Source organism: Homo sapiens, chromosome 19 (genome assembly GCF_000001405.40).
Source record: "Homo sapiens chromosome 19, GRCh38.p14 Primary Assembly".
Lineage (NCBI taxonomy): Eukaryota > Metazoa > Chordata > Mammalia > Primates > Hominidae > Homo > Homo sapiens.
Window position 1 is genome coordinate 57,613,153 of NC_000019.10, and position 19,868 is coordinate 57,633,020.

General features: G+C 44.1%; 1 protein-coding gene across 1 annotated transcript, besides 4 other annotated features; it reads left to right on the forward strand.

The window, feature by feature from the left end:
- Positions 985-1,164: an enhancer, noted in NCBI's record as "active region_15150". NCBI's record gives its function as "activates an Ori minimal core promoter by ATAC-STARR-seq in GM12878 lymphoblastoid cells {active_cell/tissue: GM12878}" and the evidence as "EXISTENCE:reporter gene assay evidence [ECO:0000049][PMID:35858748]".
- On the forward strand, positions 1,090-11,572 carry ZNF134 (zinc finger protein 134). The gene is made up of 3 exons (NM_003435.5): positions 1,090-1,351; positions 6,260-6,356; positions 7,008-11,572. Exons 2-3 carry the CDS (start codon positions 6,317-6,319, stop codon positions 8,249-8,251), a joined length of 1,284 nt encoding a protein of 427 aa, NP_003426.3. The 5' UTR covers positions 1,090-1,351; positions 6,260-6,316; the 3' UTR covers positions 8,252-11,572.
- Positions 1,295-1,344: a silencer, noted in NCBI's record as "silent region_11077". NCBI's record gives its function as "represses an Ori minimal core promoter by ATAC-STARR-seq in GM12878 lymphoblastoid cells {active_cell/tissue: GM12878}" and the evidence as "EXISTENCE:reporter gene assay evidence [ECO:0000049][PMID:35858748]".
- Positions 19,616-19,705: an enhancer, noted in NCBI's record as "active region_15151". NCBI's record gives its function as "activates an Ori minimal core promoter by ATAC-STARR-seq in GM12878 lymphoblastoid cells {active_cell/tissue: GM12878}" and the evidence as "EXISTENCE:reporter gene assay evidence [ECO:0000049][PMID:35858748]".
- Positions 19,776-19,825: an enhancer, noted in NCBI's record as "active region_15152". NCBI's record gives its function as "activates an Ori minimal core promoter by ATAC-STARR-seq in GM12878 lymphoblastoid cells {active_cell/tissue: GM12878}" and the evidence as "EXISTENCE:reporter gene assay evidence [ECO:0000049][PMID:35858748]".

The following is a 19,868-nucleotide window of genomic DNA, read 5'->3' on the forward strand; positions in this document are numbered from 1 at the left end:
CTGCACTCCAGCCTGGGCGACTGAGCAAGACTCCGTCTCAAAAAAAAAAAACACAAAACAACTTTTGAGTAATTTAAACAATTCACAAATGTTTTTGTCTTTCTTTCCCCATACACTCGCCCTTTTCTTTTTTAAAACCATAAATAAATCTCAATTCTCAATTCAGACACTGTCGGTGTAATTGCAGGTGAAATGAGAATCACCTCCCAGCCAAGAAATCTGATCCCAATTTTCCAAATCTTTATTTCTGGGTTCAGACACCACATTTTCAGCCCCTGTCTTGGCATATAAAAGCATTTATAATGGTTCTTCTTTTCAGATAAGAAACATCACCAAAAGGAAATAGATATATCTCAACTTTTGGGCTAGGAACTCTCATTTGGATAAAAGAATATTTCTCCTTTGGTTGGACATTAGTGACCATACAGGCAGGAAAGGTGCCTTCCTTGACCACCTTCTCTCGCCTGTCTTCCTCCTCATGGTTCTCTCAGGTATTTTTTTTCTGAGGAAACCAGAGGAAGAGCTCTATATTAGTCCACTTGCCTCAGGGAGCTCCAGCATCCCTCCATAGCCACTGTCTGGAGACCATTCTTCCACTCCATGGCCCTGCCTGGGGACAATTCTCTGTTAACTCTGACCCAACTGAGGCTCACAAAACTGACTCAAAGCTTCCCTCTACAGTACACATATTTTTTAAATGAAGGAAATTTGACTGAACTATGAGTGGACTCAGAGTGACATTGGATGTTGTGTGTCCATTTGGTGGTGTGGCTTCAGGGAACATCTGTAAGAATATATCCCAATATTTCGGGGATCCCTGCAGACCTCACTACACAAGACCTGGTTGAGGGTCCTTTAAAAGGAGCGAAGCCACGCCCTGACCTCAGAGTCTCAGGGCATAATTTCTCAGCGCCCCTCGCAGTACCATTTGGCCTTTGCCCAGCGTGCAGGGGAGTTAGCCGTCACCACGGCCAAGTGCACATGAGAACTGCATTGCCCAGAAACCTGTGCGCCGCCCGGCGGCGGCACTCTTAGGGGCGTCTCCCTGCGGACGGAAGCTCTCTGGGCGGGACTTCCGGTATCTTCCTCGCGGTGGACATCTTGTCGGCTCTTAGGTGGAACCATCGGAGCAGAAGCTCGGGGTTGCTGGGCGGTTCCGAGGTGACGGAAGCGGGAGGGTGCGGGAGAAGTCGCTGTTCGCTCTGCGGAGTGGCTCGCCAGCGAAGACCCCGCCTGCGCCCCCGGGGACGGACGACCGCGGTGCCAGGGTCCCGCGACCTGGGACCCCCTCGCGGCTCCGGGTGGTCTACGAACTGTGATGGCGGCGGCCGCGGTGATGGGCCCGGCGCAGGTGGGTGCTGCCTTTCCCAGACTTTCGCCCGCCCCAAATCCTGAAGTTCCAAATGAGGAGCGCCTGTCTGAGTCCCTGCAGCGCAGGCCCCAGTGTCCAAGGCAGCGGGGCGCTGGTGGGTGGGGGCGAGTGTGACTGGCAGAGGGGCAGCCTGAGCATAGGTTTGGAGCTGGACTGAGCCCGTAGCAGTCGGGAGCGTGTGTGAACCGTAGTCAGGCCTGCAATGTCGAGGGGAGAAGTTGCTCCTTCATTGCGAGGACGATAGGAGCCATGGCGGGTTTTGAATGGTGGAGGGAAGGGATCCGAAAAAGGATTTTTAAAGTATTCCAATGTTTGCTGAGGAGGAAACCGACTACAGTGAGGTAGAAACGATGAGGATGGAGGCAAGGAGACGTTTGAGGAGGTCCCTGCAACAAACTCCAGAAGTGTTGCGGTGGTGGCTGGGCCAGAGCAGTGGCAGGAGGGGTTGGGTGGGGAAGTCATGAGATTCTGGGTAGATTTTTAAAGATGGAACCAATGGGGTTTCCTGCCGCATCAGATGTGGTCGTGAGTGAATGTAGGGAGGAAAGGGCTATCCAGGGTTTTTTTGGCCTGTTTTCCTTCCTGAACGTGTGAAAGAATGGAAATTGGTAAGTCACAGCAGGGAGCACGTTTCAGGGGCATCAGGAATTGGGTTTTGGACTTGGTGAATCTAAGGTGTTCTGCACTGGAGGTTCATCACGGGTAGCTGAACATGCAGGTCTGGGGTTCTAGAGAGGGAGTTGTGCTAGAGACTTCAATGGGTGAGGCATAAGGTCAAAGCCTGTAGTAGATCAGATTTAGAGGGTGGAATTTCAAGGAAGTTATTTTGTGTGGTCTCTGAAGTGAGAGGTGGGTTTAGGGTGGAAGGCCAGGGATGAAGGGGTGGACACTTAAGATTCCTTCCAGAAAGGAGGGGTCCTGGCATGTGAAAGCATTCTAGATGGTGTTGTTGGAAGTCAATGCTTGGTGCTGCAAAGTGAAACCAGCACTCAGGCAAAAGTTTTCTCAGCAAGGCAATTTACTTCTGTGCAAGTGTGCTGCCTGTGTTAATCACGATCCCAAGAGCACACTGAACAAAGGAGGGAAGGGGTTTTTATCTCTAACCCATAGTCCCTACCTTCCTCTGTGTCACTCCCCCATGGGCTGGGGTCGGACCGCTTAATCTAAGCTGAGCCAATTGGGTATTTGTGAGTATTTTCCAAATAAGGAAGAGGGAAGGGGAAGGTGAGTTACAGTGGTGGGACATGTGAGTTGTGTAGGACGTGTGGTTTTGGCGGGGGCAATGGGTGCAAAGTGAGTAAGGGAACAGATGTGAATTATTGGTTAGTGCTTACAGGAAGGTTGTTTATAGTAACTAGGGGCAAGGAGGCATGGAGAACAAGAAAGGTTTGAGAACAAAGAACAAGGAAGTTAACAGGCTAAACCTTTGAAGAGGAATTTTATTATATCTTATAGTGTCAGCAAGAGGAGAGGGCTGTAGAGCATAAGTAGCCTGGCCTGCACTGGAGACCAAGGTGAGGGATGCAGTAGGTTTGCCACCCTACAGGCTCAGCATGCCTTCATGGGCGCTGCCTGTGGAGCAGTCCCATCCCCAACCAGTGCATTGGTGCCTCAGTTACCCAAACCCTCAGGTAAGCAGAATTGATGAACATCTCTAATGAAGGATCACTGCAGCTCCCCTTCAGAGGAATATGTATCAGGTAGGCTGGTTTAGTGCAAGGGCTAGTGTACACCTTGCAAGTACGCAGAAGGAACTAAAAAATGTATGTACAAAGTAAGGGAAATTTATACTAGCACTTAATGATTGGTCAAAATATTAAGTTGCCTTGAAGTATTTTATTACAATGGAAAAATCTTAACCAAATTTTCTTAAAAGCTTTAAAGCAGGCAAAACAAACCTAATTTTTCAAAAACTCATCAGTTCATTTGCATGGATAGTAGTAGCTGTTTCAAAGGCACTTGAGATGTACAGACAAGCCTGATACAAACAGTAGCCCTATGAGGTGGGTGCCATTATTATCCCCACTTTTAAGATGAGGACACTCAGACGCTGGTCTTTATGTTCACACAGCTGGTGGGAGCCAGCACTGAGATCTGAGTATCTGAAGTTAGAGAGGTAACCCAAAATCATTCCTGCCAAAGGGCAGGGTAGGCAGGGCTTAGGGAAACAGTTCAGTCGATGAGATCCCACTGTGGGAACCTGCCACTCCCAGCTTCCCTCCTCTTGTGAGGTTGCCATGGTGGCAGAAACTTATGATTCCTACCTAGATGAGAGTAGATTGTCTCAGGCCCTCACTTAGCCCAACACACCCCCATTATCTCAGCAACTCAGTGTGGAGAATGATAGTGTTCTGGGACTCTTCAGTGTCCCTTCTGCCTACCGTTCTTGGAGGTCCTGCAGTCACCCAAAGCTCTGTGTTGTAAATTCTGTTTTGGAATTATGTGGAAGGGTTTCTATTTCTGGCAAGCAATGGGATGAAATGTGGAACATTATCTCAGGCATAGGAACCAGCATGTGCAAATACTTAACTTAAGGCTAAACTAGGAGTGTTCAGGGAACCTCAGGCCTCCATTATGTCTGGTGGGATCAGACAGCAGGGACAGGATTCAGCCCAGAAATGGCAGCCTGAGGATCTGGGTTTGTATGCTGAGAGAATTGGGAGCCACTGCAGGTTTGGAGCTAGGAGGGAGTGATCTGACTTTGGTCTTAACCAACTTCCTCTGTACAGTGAAAAAAGACTGTGGGAGTGAGGATGAAGGAAGGAATACCACTGAGGAGCTTAATGCAACAGTTCAGGTTGGACCAGAGTGGTCGCTGTAGAGGTGGGAGATGTGGATGGATTCTGAATCATTTTTCTTAAAGTGGGACCAACCAGATTTTCTGATGTGGAAGATGAGAAAGAAAAGGCAAGGGGTGAAGGAAGACCCTGGATTTTTTAGTCTGAGAAGATATAAAGATGCCATCAACTGAAGTGACAAAGTTGGTGGTAGGAGTACCTTTCAGAGGTAATATCAGGAGTGCAGTTTGGCTATGTGGAATCTACCATGTTCCAAAGACACTTGAGTGGAGGTGTCAAGTAGACAGCTGGACACAGAGATCTGAAGTTCAGAGAAGGGATTCAGGTTGGAGCTATCCACAGGGTGGCAGCCAGCATGTGGATCAGGATGGAGCTTTGCTTCCAATTTAGAGAGAGAATCTTTAGGTCATGGTGACAGTGCCATCAGCACACTGTAAGGGCAGACACAGCAGGGTAGAGGTAGGGGCCATCTTAGAGTCTAGAAGAGGGAGGGAAATGTCCCTGGGAGGAAGGGGAATAATAGGGTCAGGCAGGTGGCAAAGCGTTCCAGGCAGAGAGTGGATGTGAGGTGAAGTACTGTAGTAATAGAAGTGAGGTGGCAGTGAGGCCAGAGCCAGTGCTTATTCAGCTCTTTATGTGCTCCTCAGGCTTCCATGGTGACCTTTGGTGGGACCTGTGGAGTTTCAGTCAAGCTAGTGAATTAGCCCAGGGACAGATTGGGTCAGTAGGCAGAATCCCTGTGCTTGGGGTAGGTGCCCAGTGAGTGTAGGTTTTGAATGAGTTAAATGTTGAGAAGCCTGTGACTGACCTCAGTAGTACAACAACAAAGCAGAAAAGGGCTGAGTTTATCTGGGATCTGCACATGGTTCTGGATTGCTGAATTGACCCATGAAATAGAGCCAGGAGGGGAAGATTTAATAGGTGGATTCAGGGCAACCCATGGCAGTGTGGCCGTTGATCAGGACCAGATGTAATCCTGGATGCATTATCCAAGCATTCTCTGGATGCTGTGTGCAGATTTGCATGTGGGGAAGCCATGGAGGTACCAGTGTTGTGGGTGTCCATAGATGTAAAGGAGGTATAGCCAAAAGGGTGATGTGCACATGGAGATGGAGTGTGAATTCATGAGCCCAGAGCTTTGGTATGGAGGGTTTCTGAAAGAATGCTTAGCTCAGGTTTGTGTATGAGGAATAATCTGTTGATCCCCAGGGAGCTGGCTGATAGGAGAAGGGTTGGGTCCTACATACCAGGCCCATGGTGTTTTATCTGTCCACTTGCCTGTTCTGAGCTGGACAAAATGATTAATGGAATATGAGTCGAGAACAGGCACCAATCACACCAGGGCCTGTTATCTCATTTGAGTTAGATGTGACAAGGAGTCCTGGAGAGAGAGGCTGTCCTTAAGCTCAGTTGTCCACCTCACACAGGGCTATGTGACCTTCAAGGATTTATTTGTTTACTTCTCTTAGGAGGAATGGGAGCTGCTGGATGAGGCTCAGAGACTCTTCTATTATGAAATAATGGCTTCTGTGCTTCGCATTTATAGTCTCCCTGGGTAAGGCCCCAGTATCCCATTTTTCTGGGCTGGGTCCTACTCTTCCTTTTTGCCCTAGGGGTTGCTCTTTCCTTTCCATAGCTAGAGCATGGGTACTGCTCTCTTCTCTGATTCCCTCACATAGGTCCCCTGGGTGCCTAGGCTCAGCTAGATGCATTGGCCCCTCTCTTCCCTGTGTTCCTCAACTCCTGCTGCCCTGAAGCCTTGCCAGGAAGGGTTTGGAGGTCAGGGGTCCTAAGGTGACCCAGTGAATTCTGCTTGGCCTCTCCCTGGCCAGGTGACTGTCCACACTCATGACACCTCTGGACTCCAGGCTCCACCCGCTTCCTCTAATTGTAATTTCCTTGAGTCTGCCTGTGTCCTCAATTTCAGTCATCATGGTCACCACTTGTGGGCCCACTGCACTGTTCCTGCAGGACAATTTTCTGAGGTTCATTTTGTAGCATTTGTTTTCTTGCAATTTTGCATGGGTGGGCTACTCTGGCTAGTGCTCTCAGCCTGTTTCACCTTTCCCCTATGCTTTGTATCTTCCAGATCCTCTGTGGTTGTTGAATTGTAACAAGAGAGAGAACTCTGGCTGCCTGAGAGGGCATGACTCTAGTCACAGCAGGAGGGGCTTGGACAGGCCCTGGTGAGTGGGAGCTGAGGGACGCCATAACCTCAGGGCTGGGTTCCTGTAGTTCCGGAAACCTATGTTGTGCCCATCACAAGTGCCAAGGCCAGAGGCCCTAACTTATTTCTACCTTTTTATCCCCATTCTGTACACTCTTGTCATTTCTAATCTGACTTCTGACCCAGGGCTGTCTTCTCCCATTCTCTACCAGAGGGGCTCTAGTAGAGCAATAGCTCTCTCTGCGATGCTTTCCAATATTGTACTACACTTACACTATTGTGTCATAAGATGTGTGCATATCTGTAAATAGTCCCTGAACACGTTACTTATTTTTAATCACATTTTCCTGGGCCTGTACTCACATTTCGCATAGGAGTCACCTGTCACCCACAGTCAGCCAAGGTCCTGCTAAAAGTCATTGCAGAGGATTAAGTTGGAGACCTTGTACTACACCCCATCCTCGTGTCTTTGTTTCTTGTGAGGCCATCTCCATTCTGTGACTCTTAGATTCCAGTACTGTACAGCAGCCCTTTTTTCAACCTGATCCTAGCTCTGTTCCACCAGGAAACTTAGGTACTCAGTCCTGGGTACAGCAGACACATATTTGTGATGTAGTTGCCCCACCCACCAAAGTCAGCATGTACATCAATAGTATTTTTCTGCCTTCAGGTTGTTGGCATGAAGTGAAGGATGAAGAGTCATCTTCTGAACAGAGCATTTCTATAGCAGTGTCACATGTTAATACTTCCAAGGCAGGTTTGCCCGCACAGACGGCTCTCCCTTGTGACATATGTGGCCCCATCTTGAAAGATATTTTGCACCTGGATGAACACCAGGGTACACACCATGGACTGAAACTTCACACATGTGGGGCATGTGGGAGACAATTCTGGTTCAGTGCAAACCTTCATCAGTACCAGAAGTGTTACAGTATAGAGCAACCCTTAAGAAGGGATAAAAGTGAGGCCTCAATTGTGAAGAACTGCACAGTTAGCAAAGAACCTCATCCGTCAGAGAAGCCCTTTACGTGTAAGGAGGAGCAGAAAAACTTCCAGGCTACTTTGGGTGGCTGCCAACAAAAGGCCATCCACAGTAAGAGGAAGACACACAGGAGCACTGAGAGTGGGGATGCATTTCATGGTGAACAAATGCATTACAAGTGCAGTGAATGTGGGAAAGCTTTCAGCCGCAAAGACACACTTGTCCAGCACCAGAGAATTCATAGTGGAGAGAAGCCTTATGAGTGCAGCGAATGTGGGAAAGCCTTCAGCCGCAAAGCTACACTTGTCCAGCATCAGAGAATCCATACTGGAGAAAGGCCTTATGAATGCAGCGAATGTGGAAAAACCTTCAGTCGAAAAGACAACCTTACTCAGCACAAGAGAATCCACACTGGAGAAATGCCTTATAAGTGCAATGAATGTGGGAAATATTTTAGCCATCACTCCAATCTAATTGTACACCAGAGAGTTCACAATGGAGCAAGGCCTTATAAGTGCAGTGATTGTGGGAAAGTCTTCAGACACAAATCTACACTTGTTCAGCATGAGAGTATTCACACTGGAGAAAATCCTTATGATTGCAGTGATTGTGGGAAATCCTTTGGCCACAAATACACCCTCATTAAACATCAGCGAATTCACACTGAGTCAAAGCCGTTTGAGTGCATTGAATGCGGGAAATTCTTTAGTCGAAGTTCTGACTATATTGCACACCAGAGGGTTCACACTGGTGAAAGGCCTTTTGTGTGCAGTAAATGTGGGAAAGACTTTATCAGAACCTCCCACCTTGTTCGACACCAAAGAGTTCACACTGGAGAAAGGCCATATGAGTGCAGTGAATGTGGGAAGGCCTACAGCTTAAGCTCCCACCTCAATCGGCACCAGAAAGTTCACACTGCAGGCAGGCTTTAGGAGTGCTTTGAATACAACAGGACTCATCAATCAGATGTTGAATTTCATGTATCTGAACATTGACACAAAGGAGATACCTTATGGTGCCAGGTACGTGGGAACCTTCTAGGGATATGTTGCACTTTCTGACTTGCTCAGGTTTTTTGCCAGAGTTATGTCACTGTCAATCCATGTGGCCGAAACCATCTTAACTCTACCAGCTAAGATACCCCAGCATTGGGGAAGGCAGGGTTTTGTATTGTCCAGTCCCTGGAGAAAATCATGAAATGCCTGAGTTCATTGGGGGTCCTCATTCCCTTCTGTATGACAGGTATAGGTATGGATATGACCCATTTTTAGCCAAGAGGGTCTGAGCTGTATCTGCTGGTGGCTTATACAAAAAGTTTACTTTCTTCATGGATATTCTTGGTCTCACATACTTGTAATCAAGTTTTTCCAGCCTCCAAGTCACCTGGCCTGGGAAAGTACTTGCCTCATGTTGCTCTGGTTTGTGATAATAAAGGCTTTACAGTTTAAGCCACATTTAATCTTGGGGCTTCTTCTTATGGTCTGGGGTGGATTGAAAACAGGCTCTGCCAAACTGAAGACAGCCTTTGTGCGGTGCCTCCAACTTTGCCTCAAATGGGACAGTGGGTTGAGGGAGAACAGTTCTTAGTCCAGTTTTGATGTTAACTTCCATAGCTGACAAAGCTTGTTAAGTAAGAATTAAGATCTTGTGTAGACCTGATTTGTCTGGATTTTAGAGTTATTTGAGAGCCCATATTTCACCTTGAGGAGGGTGCTGCTGCTGTGACAGCCTGCAGTGTTTTGAAACAGCATGGATTGGGTGTCTTGTTTGCAGCATGTGTCCCATGTTCCCCAACACTGTTGAGGGAAAGCTGTTCCTCAGGACCTGCTGAGTGGCCATATTCCCTGAAGGCCTGAATCTGTTTCACAGGCCACTGTTGGTAAGATCTAAAGCATCCAGTAGGGAAACAAAATTGATAAATATTGAGTGTGAGTAATTGGGATTGGGGAGATTGTGGCAAACTAGAGGGGAAGTGCCCATTGTAAAAACACATCCACAGACAGTCCAGGCACTAAGGCTGAATGGGATCAGGGTATCCAGAAATCTCAGGATCTCCAGGGCCATGTTACTGTTAGGTCAAGGTCACTGGTGCAGCAACGAATGTAGTTTTTCTAGATTCCTCTCCCTCCCTGGGCTCTTTACCTAATGTCTTTGCGGCACAGGCGGTAACCCTGGGAGTAAAGAGGTGTGGTCCAAGGAAGTAGCTTTTGTGACCAGCTGGAGTTTCTGGTGACTCTTTTGGCAATGGTCCTCATTGTTTGCCAGTTTTTCTTACTACTGAGGAAGAGATTGTCTTCCCAAGATATTTGGAGTGATAAGAGTCACCATAGTGAGGTAGAGTCACTCTTAGTGATGTCCAGTTGTCCAGTTTCCAATAGAAGTGGGAGATCCAGATTTTTAAATGGGATAACTTTTTATAGGTTCACTGAGGTGTAATCAACATGCAATATATTGCACATATTTAAAGTGTACGAGTTAAGTCTTGATACACACACACACACACACACACACACACACACACACACTTGAAACTATCACCCTATCAGTGGTATTGGACATATCTGTTACCCCCAAAGTTAACCTGAGGCCCTTAACCTTTCTCTCAGTGCTCGCCTTCCCCCAGAATCCCTAGGCAACCACTGAGTAGTTTTCACTGTAGGTAAATTTGTCTTTTCTAGAATTTTATGTAAGTCTGCCTATAAAGTGTTAATTTTGCATGCTGTCTTTCATGCAACATAATTTGAAATTTGTCCATGGTATGTATGAACAGTCCATTTTAAAATTACTGAGTCATATTCTGTATGGATATACCACAGTTTATCCATTTATCTTAATTGATGTCTGTACTCCACCCCCATTTTTAAATATTAAAAAGCTGCTGCAAATATTGATGCATGAGTCTTTATGTGGACACTTAGCTGAGAACATTTTTAAGCAGAGGTTTTGAAGGTGTGACCATATATCTTACTAATTATAGTAAAATATATTGGAAAAGAGATACATACAGGGAAGAACTGTGAAACAGAAAAGACCTAAGATTTGATGATTTGGGAAATTCTCAGCCCATCTTAATTGGAAAAAAAAAACAAACCATTGAAATTAAGAGATTCATTGTTAGGAAAGATAGATGTTTTAGAGAGAGAGATGTTTTAGAGAGATAGCCAAGGATGTTTGCTGATACCGGGATCAAAACATACATCAGAACACTGTCACACAAAAAGCTCTTTGAAGAGATTAAATGTGACTTGTAGATCCCCTCAATACAAACAATTTATAAGAAGTTTAAACTATCACTCATCTCAGCAAAAGCCAAAAATATAGATAGGGGATTCCCTAGGAGGAATAATCTGCATAAACCTCTTTTCTAATGTTGTGAATTTCAGTGATGTACAGGAGACTCACAAAATTCTTGAAAATTTTATACCAGTGGAAATGCTCACCTTGGGTCTAAAGGGACCTTGAAAGTATGAAGTTAAAGGGTGTAGGCATGTAAAGTGTGAAGTTAAAGGTTGTAATATTCTATACATGGGACTGGCTGCGGAAACAGGTGCAAGCCCTTGCTACCTTTCATGAGAAAGGAAGGATGACTCAGAGCAGAGGAGAGTCCAGTGGGCAGAGTCCTGAACCATGTGATATTCCCATGTCTTGACTCCCAGTGGCATTTGCCAAACTAGATTTCAGATTTTCTTGGGATTGGTGGTTCCATTTTTTTTGTTTTCCCCCCTTCCATTTCCTCCCCTTTTGAAACAATGCATATACATATAACTATTATCCTAGGTCTTTCCCAACCTTTTGTTTGGGAGCAGATAACTAGTTTTCTAGTTTTACAGATCCAAATGAGACAGGAATAGCACTGGGTGGTCACAGGAGGATGGAAAATCTCAACACCCTGGTTTTGGTGCAGCTGAAAAAAAAAAAGAAAAACCCAAACAACAGCTAAAACGGGAACTAGGCAAAGAAACCGTGGGATAACAGAAAACCCAAAACAAAAGAGAAAACTGCCAGAACCCCAGTCAGGGTGACATGTCTGTAACTCTTCCAGGCAAACCCAAATAAGGGAGGAGGGGTGGTAATCAGGGGTCCCTGAAATCCCCTCTTTTCCCAGAATACCTAATGATTACCCCTATTAAAGGAACACCCATACAATTAGAAACCCAAACTTTGTTTTGCATGACTTGCTCTCAGGGGCACTCCCACACTTCTCTCTTGTGTGTACTTTTGCTTCACAATAAAAGCTGCTTGCCTTTGCTTCACTGTGACTCGTCACTGAATTCTTTCAATGGTGTTAAGAACCTGGATGCTGCTGGGGCTGGGATCTCACCAACAATGTCCAGAGACCCCCCCGAACCCCCCAGCAACACAGAGAAGAATTGTGCCCCAAGATGGGATTATACCTAGAGCCTCATCCATATTGGACTTAGACAATTTAGATGAAATTGGAGACTTTAGCTCAGTGTGGAGGCGCACACCTGTAGTCCCAGCTGCTCAGGAGGCTAAGGCAGGAGAATCGCTTGAACCCAGGAGACAGAGGTGGCAGTGAGCCAAGATTGCGCCACTGCACTCTAGCCTGGGCAATAAAGCGAGACTGTCTCAAAAAAAATCATAAAATAGTAAAAGGCATCAAATTTTTGAGGGGAAATACCTATTGGTGAACTGAAAACTCGACAACAGTTCTGGTGTGTGGGATAACATGTTAATAGCCTTGATCATTTTGAATTTCATAATCATAAATGGGATTTTGTTTTTGAGATGGGGTTTCACTCTTGTTGCCCAGGCTGGAGTGCCATGGCACTATCTCAGCTCACTGCAACCTCTGCCTCCTGGGTTCAAGCGATTCTTCTGCCTCAGCCTCCTGAGTAGCTGGGATTACAGGCATGCACCACCACGCCTGGCTCATTTTGTATTTTTAGTAGAGACAGGGTTTCTCCATGTTGGTCAGGCTGGTCTTGAACTTCTGACCTCAGGTGATCCGGCTGCCTTGACCTCCCAAAGTGCCAGGATTACAGGCATGAGCCACTGTGCCTGGCCTTTTGGGATTGGTTTAAAGAGCTGTGGAAGACAATTGAGCAATTACCACAGAGATTAGCAATGGAGTTCCTAGTATATTTGAAAATGAATAAAATTGTTCCTGGGAAAATTAACAATAGTGATCTCAGTCTAAATTACAGAGTAAGCAATTCAGAGAGGATAATATGCCACATATGCATAGATTTGTTTAAAACAGTAAATTATATAGCACTGTAAAAATTGAAAAAAATACTATTAGAACAACAAACAATTAGGTTGATGAAGCACAATAAGAGACTAATGAAAAGGAAAGAAATGAAATTACTTAATATCAAAATGTATGAAATAAATTTAAGCCATATACAAGCATGCCAAATTAACTTGTGAGATTAACAAAGAGTGTATTAATTGGGGAAAAAGACTAGGAGTCTGCAAATCCTAAGATTAGGCTTAACACTAAGCCTCTTACAAACTTCAAGTTTTCAAAAAGGCTCAAGGTTTTCTGGTACAGAGGTACTATGGGAGCACAGTTCAGATTTAACTTAACATTACGTTATTTAGGCCAGGCACGGTGGCTCATGCCTGTAATCTCAGCACTTTGGGAGGCTGAGGCGGGCAGATCACGAGGTCAAGAGATGGAGACCATCATGGCTACCACAGTGAAACCCCATATCTACTAAAAATACAAAAAATTAGCCGGGTGTGGTGGCAGGCGCCTGTAGTCCCAGCTACCCGGGAGGCTGAGGCAGGAGAATGGCATGAACCCGGGAGGCGGAGCTTGTGGTGAGCCGAGATCACACCACTGCACTCCAGCCTGGGTGATAGAGCAAGACTCCACCTCAAAAAAAAAAAAAAGAAAGAAAATTACAGTCTTTAGGAAACTAGATATTCATCAGAGAGTGTATGTGACCAGAATAAGCCATCTTACGACGTCTAGATGACACAGTAAATACTTATGCTGATTCAAAATTACCTGAGCTACTTCAACATAGGACATAGCAAAACACTGATAATTACATTACTGTATACTTATAAAAGATGCTTGTGGCTGGGTGCAGTGGCTCACACCTATAATCCCAGCCCTTCGGAAGGCCAAGGCAGGCGGATCATCTGAGGACAGGAGTTCCAGACCAGCCTGGCCAACATGGTGAAACCCCATCTCTACTAAAAATACTAACATTAGGCAGGAGAATTGCTTGAATCCGGGAGGCAGAGGTTGCAGTGAGCAGAGATTGCGCCATTACTCCAGCCTGGGCGGCGAGAGCAAAACTCCGTCAAAAAAACAAAAACAAAAAAAACAAACCATGCTTTCAAATCTGCCTAACAATTATAGCTTCAGAGTCCTTGTATTCAGGATTATCTATTTGTAACTTACTACTTTTTACAAATATTTTTCTTACACTAAATTAGAAAGAATGTTTGGTCTCGCAGGTGTCTGAGAATCTTTAGTAAAATACCCCTACAGATTCTATTTTGGAATCATGGTTTTAAAAAAAGCAAAAGTGTGTATTTCCAATTAATTGCTACAGAGATGCCAAATGTCCACTCAGTAGTTGTGAGTAAAACAAATTGTCTTATTGCTCTTCACTTCACAGGCAAATAAACTCTTCGAGTGATTGTGTGAAGTTCAGAGTATTAGGTCAGGGATGAAATGGAGGCTAATCCAGACACGTTATAAGAGAAAATATGGAATAGAGATTCTAGGGGCACTAAAGCAAATGCATGAGGTGGTCTATGCTTCTGAGTCCCTCATAGTATGTTCCTTCTGAGTATTTGTATTCTAAACCTCAAAATTACAATTTTTTGTATAACATTTCTTACTGGATTCTCCAAGATATAATCTACTTTTTGAAGAATATGACATTTATGTAGAAATAGTGGTTACTTACCAAACTGGTATTTGCTACTAGGAAAGTAGCATCAGTTTTTGGCATGGGCATCTGAACTCTGAGAATAAGGTTTGGGATTCCATGACCTCATCTCCTTGCTGGGAAGTGATGGTCATTTTATTCTTCCACCTGTAATTGCAGTGACAGTGTCTCCAAGAGGATTGGAGATGATCTCTGAAAAAAATTTTTGAAGTTAGAAAATTGTAGAAAGTTATTAACATTAATTACTGGAGTTATCCATTTAGAATGACATCATACCTAAAAGAGAAAATTATCTGTGAAATGGGAACAAATAAAGGTAAATAGAGGAAACAGTTCTAAGACATGGGACATGTAAGTTGAACCCTTGGTTATGCTGGAATCTTGGCTCCTATGAAATTTTTTTTTTTTTTTTTTTTTTTTTTTTTTTGAGATGTCTTGCTCTGTCGCCCAGGCTGGAGTGCAATGGCGCGATCTCGGCTCACTGCAACCTCCGCCTCCCAGGTTCAAACAATTCTTCAGCCTCAGCCTCTCAAGTAGCTGGGATTACAGGCGCCCACCACTGCACCTGGCTAATTTTTGTATTTTTAGTAGCGATGGGGTTTTGCTATGTTGGCCAGGCTGGTTTTGAACTCCTGACCTCAGGTGATCCGCCCGCCTCGGCCTCCCAAAGTGCTGGGATTACAGGCGTGAGCCACCGCGCCCAGCCGAAATTCTTATTTCTACAAAGTCTGACATTTTTTCATTCATATGAATGGTGAGGAATAACAAACTTGGAAGGAAAGAAATAGTAAAAAGAGAGTGAGAGTACAAAGGTGAAAGAGTTGAGGGAAAGCATTACTCAACATCTTATCTGGTTCAGAGGCTCATCTAGATTTGTATTTACAGCAGTGAACAACCTACAAAGAAATGTATTCTCAAGTAGGCTTTATTCAAATTAAGAGATGTGGTCTGGAAATAATAAAGAAAATATTGGAAAATATACACTAAGTTATAAAGAGACAGATTCTATGGAAAATATCAGAATACCAGCACCAAGTAATAACGAACACGTGAAGTAGGTAGAATTTCTATAGGAAATTTCTATAGTCAGGGTTGTCCTTATAGTGGAGATAATATTTGAGCATATATTTAAAGCACAGCAGAGAGAGAGTGATTTGTAAACACAGAGAAAATGTGCTATGGAAAAGAAATAGCCAGTACAGTGTCCAAAAAGCCTGGAAGTGAAAAATCATGTGGTCAAAGCACAATTCAAGAGTGACTGGTGATGGTTTTTATACCATCAAAAATCTCCCCAATGTGCACAATTACCCATGTATCCATTCACATGCCATTATCTCAGACCTCCTTGTCAACTGTCTTCTCAAACATATTCTTCCTTGCCCTTGATCACATTGCCAGGTCATGGACTGCTATCCTGTAAAATACTTGTTCTTTGGACACTTATTCCTCCTCATAAAAAGGTTTACAAGGTATGCCACTTGTGACTTCACCTATGGGGAAAATTTTGATCCCCAACTATCTTTCAAGAGGATGCAGAATATGGCTCTGAGGCAGCCACAGTTTTGTTTTGTTTTTTTTTTTTTGAAATTTATCTTTTTTTCCCACCCTGCCTTATGGTGCTGACACAATCTTTTTTATTACTAGGTTTTTAAGAGCACTTTTAGGTTTGCAGTAAAATTAAGGGGAAGGTAAAGAGATATTCCATATACTCCCTGCACCTACATAAGCATAGCGCCCCTCACCCCAACCGCAGTGGCACATTTGTAGCAATTATAAACCTACACTGACACATCATTATCATCCAAAGTCCCTACTTTACTTTAGGGTTCACTCTTAGTGTTGTACATTCTATGTGTTTGGACAAAGGTACAATGACACGTGTCCACTATTAGAGTGTCATCTAAAATAGTAATCCTCTGTGCTCCACAAATTCATCCCTCCTACCCTTCTAAACCCCCAGCAACCACTGATCTTTTTACTCTTTCATACTTTTACCTTTTCTCAAATGTCATTAATTGGAATCATACAGTATATTGCCTTTTCAGATTGGCCTCTTTCATTTAGTGGTATGCATACAAGGTACCTCCATGTTTTTTCACGTCTTGAAGATTCATTTACCTTCAGCATTGAGTAATGTTCCATTGTCTAGATATACTACAGTTTCTTTTCTTTCTTTGTTTCTTTTTTTTTTTGAGACGGAGTCTCGCTCTGTCGCCCAGGCTGGAGTGCAGTGGCGTGATCTCGGCTCACTGCAACCTCCGCCTCCCGGGTTCACGCCACTCTCCTGCCTCAGCCTCCCGAACAGCTGGGACTACAGGTGCCTGCCACCATGCCCAGCTAATTTTTTTTTTTTTTTTTTTTTTTTGTATTTTTAGTAGAGACGGGGGTTTCACCGTGTTAGCCAGGATGGTCTCGATCTCCTGACCTCATGATCCGCCCACCTCGGCCTCCCAAAGTGCTGGGATTACAGACGTGAGCCACCACGCCTGGCGATATACTACAGTTTCTAATCCATTCACTTACTGAGGGACATTTTTGTTGCTTCCAAAGTATGCCAATTTTGGATAAAACTGCTATACACACACATGTACAGGTTTTTGTGTGGACATAAATTTTCCACTCATATGGATAAATTCTGAAAAATATGGTTACCGTATTGTATGGTAAAAGTGTGTTTAGTTTTGTAAGAAACCACCAAACTCCATTTCAAAGTGGCTGTACAACTTTGCATTCCCGTCAGCAATGAGAGCTCCTGTTGCTGTACATTTTCTCAACCATTTGCAGTTGTCAGTGTTACAGAGGTTGTTCATTCTAATAGATGTGTAGTGGTATCTCAGTGCTGTTTTAATTTTTACTTCCCTGATGACATATGATGGGGATTATCTTTTCATACACTTATTTGCCATCTGTGTATCTTCTCTGGTGAGGTATCTAAACCTAAAGTCTTTGCCCATTTCGTTTTTTAATTAAGATGTTTCTTTTTTTTCTTTTTTTTTTTTTTGAGACGGAGTCTCACACTGTCACTAGGCTGGAGTGTCGTGGCATGATCTCGGCTTACTGCAACCTCCACCTCCTGGGTTCAAGCGATTCTCCTGCCTCAGCCTCCCAAGTAGCTGGGACTACAGGCATGCGCCACCACGCCCAGGTAATTTTTGTATTTTTTAGTAGAGACAGGGTTTCACCATGTTGGCCAGGATGGTCTTGATCTCTTGACCTTGTGATCTGCCTGCCTCAGCCTCCCAAAGTGCTGGGATTACAGGCATGAGCCACCAAGCCCGGCCCTGAAAAATTTACACAATTATACAAAACTTACTTAACCTATGCTTCATTACCTCATGAGGAGTACTGGGAAGTTTTGAGTACGTGCAATGGATGGAAACATTGAATTTGGACATAAAGAGTTGTGTCCTTTTTTTTTTTTTTTTTTTGGAGTCTTGCTCTGTCACCCAGGCTGGAGTGCAGTGGTACGATCTCGACTCACTGCAACCTTCACTTCCCAGGTTCAAGTGATTCTGATTCTCCTGCCTCGGCCTCCCGAGTAACTGGGATTACAGGTGCCACCACCACGCCCGACTAATTTTGGAATTTTTAATGGAGACGGGGTTTCACCATGTTGGCCAGGCTGGTCTTGAACTCCTGACCTTAGGTGATTCGCCCACCTCGGCCTCCCAAGGTGGGAGCAGCAATCACACCTGCTGGGATTACAGGTGTGAGCCACTGTGCCCAGCCAGTTATGTCATTTTTCACTAGTTTCTCAGTTGATTACCTGAAAGTATGAATTTTTAAAGCACAATAGGATTCAGCAGTCTCAGGTAGGAAAAAGGTAACCTGGAAAGATCCCTGCATGTGAATGCACACACAGCTTTCAGGGATCTGAGGAAATTCAGCATGTGTAGGATATAGAGGAGATACATGGTAGGAGGTGAAGCAATATGTAATGGTTGGTTCTGTAATATAGGCCCAGCCAAGAACTCTAACCTTTTTCCTAAAAACAATGACAAGCCCATTGTGAGATCTAACCAGATGTACAATAGTAGTCATTCCACTTATAAATTTTTGTAGTAAATGTGTAAACAAATACATTATATATTTGATAAAATCATTTCACAACTTTTAATTTTATTTTATTTTACTGGTATTAATTTGTCCTAAAGGATCATTTTTATTGTGAAACGTAAAATTTGATCTATCTAATATATATAAAATGTATATGTGTACATTTAACAATGTGCATATATGTACCTTAAAATAATATAAACTTTCTGGGCGACGGAGTGAGGCCCTGTTTAAAATAATGATAATAATTTGATATTTTATGCATTAAAAACTTTTGTCTGGGCATGGTGACTCATGCTTGTAATCTCAGCAGTTTGGGAGGCTGAGGCAAGAAGATTGCATGGCCCTAGGAGTTTGAGACTAGCCTGGGCCCTATAGGGAGACTCCATTCCTACAATAATTTTTTTTTTAACTAGCCGGGTGTGGTGGTGTGCTTGTAGTGCCAGCTACTCAAGAGGCTGAGGTGGGAGGATCACTTGAGCCCAGGAAGTGGAGGCTGCAATGAGCTATGATTGTTCCACTGTACTCCAGCCTGGACAACAGAGTGAGACCCTGTCTCAAAAAAAAATTAAATGTTTTGATTATACAAGGAAAATGAACATTCATGTATTAAAGCTTCATGTTTTATGAACAAAACTGACTTTGCAGGCAGGAGAGCGTTTTCTGGGGGCACCAGAAGCAGGGAACTTCCCTTGTCCGTTGGCTTCAGGGCTGCCCACTATCCCTCCACTATCTTCCCATTGTAGCCCTGTCTGGTGTCTTTTGTCCCTGACAAAACCTACAAAAAGTGACTTTAACACTTCAGGCTGCATGCATTTGAAGAGCAATAAGATAACGTTTTTTCGCTTCCCACTACCAGTGGAGATCTGCTGGGGTGGGCTGCATGGAATCTGAAATGATGTCTAAATACTGAAGTGAACCTCTACACTAGAGACTGATATACAGCTGACCCTTAAACGACGCAGGGGTCAGGGATACCGACCCCTGCGGAATTGAAAATGCTTGTATTACTTTTGACTCCCCTAGGTCTTAACTACTAATAGCCAACTGTTGCCCGGAAGCCTTATGAAGTTGCCCGGAAGCCTTATGAATTACATAAACTCCCAGTCGATTAACACATTTTGTATGATATATGCATGATATATGCATAATATATATGATATATGCATTTTGTATGATATATGCATTATATATATTTTAGTATAAGAACTATACTTGTACTAAAACAGACCAGAGAAAGGGTATCAGGAAAATTGTAAGAGGCTCGTTGACATTACACCCAATTAAAAAAAGGAAAATAAAAGAATACGGAAGGGAAAATACATTTACTAATCATTAAGTGGAAGTGGATCATCATAAAGGTCTTCATCCTTGTGTTCTTCATGCTGGGCAAGAGAATGAGGTCTTGCTGTCTCTGGGGCAAGAGGTCGGGGAGCTGGAAGAGGCAGGAAAAGGAGCACACTCGAAGTAACGTTTATTGGGGAAAAAAAACGCCTACGTGTAAATGGACCCGCACAGCTCAAACCTGTGTTGTTCAAGTGTCAACCTACTTAAGACCTCAAACACCGAAGCCCCTCAGTCGCCCTGGAAGGCAGCAGACGCAGCTTCCTAGCGC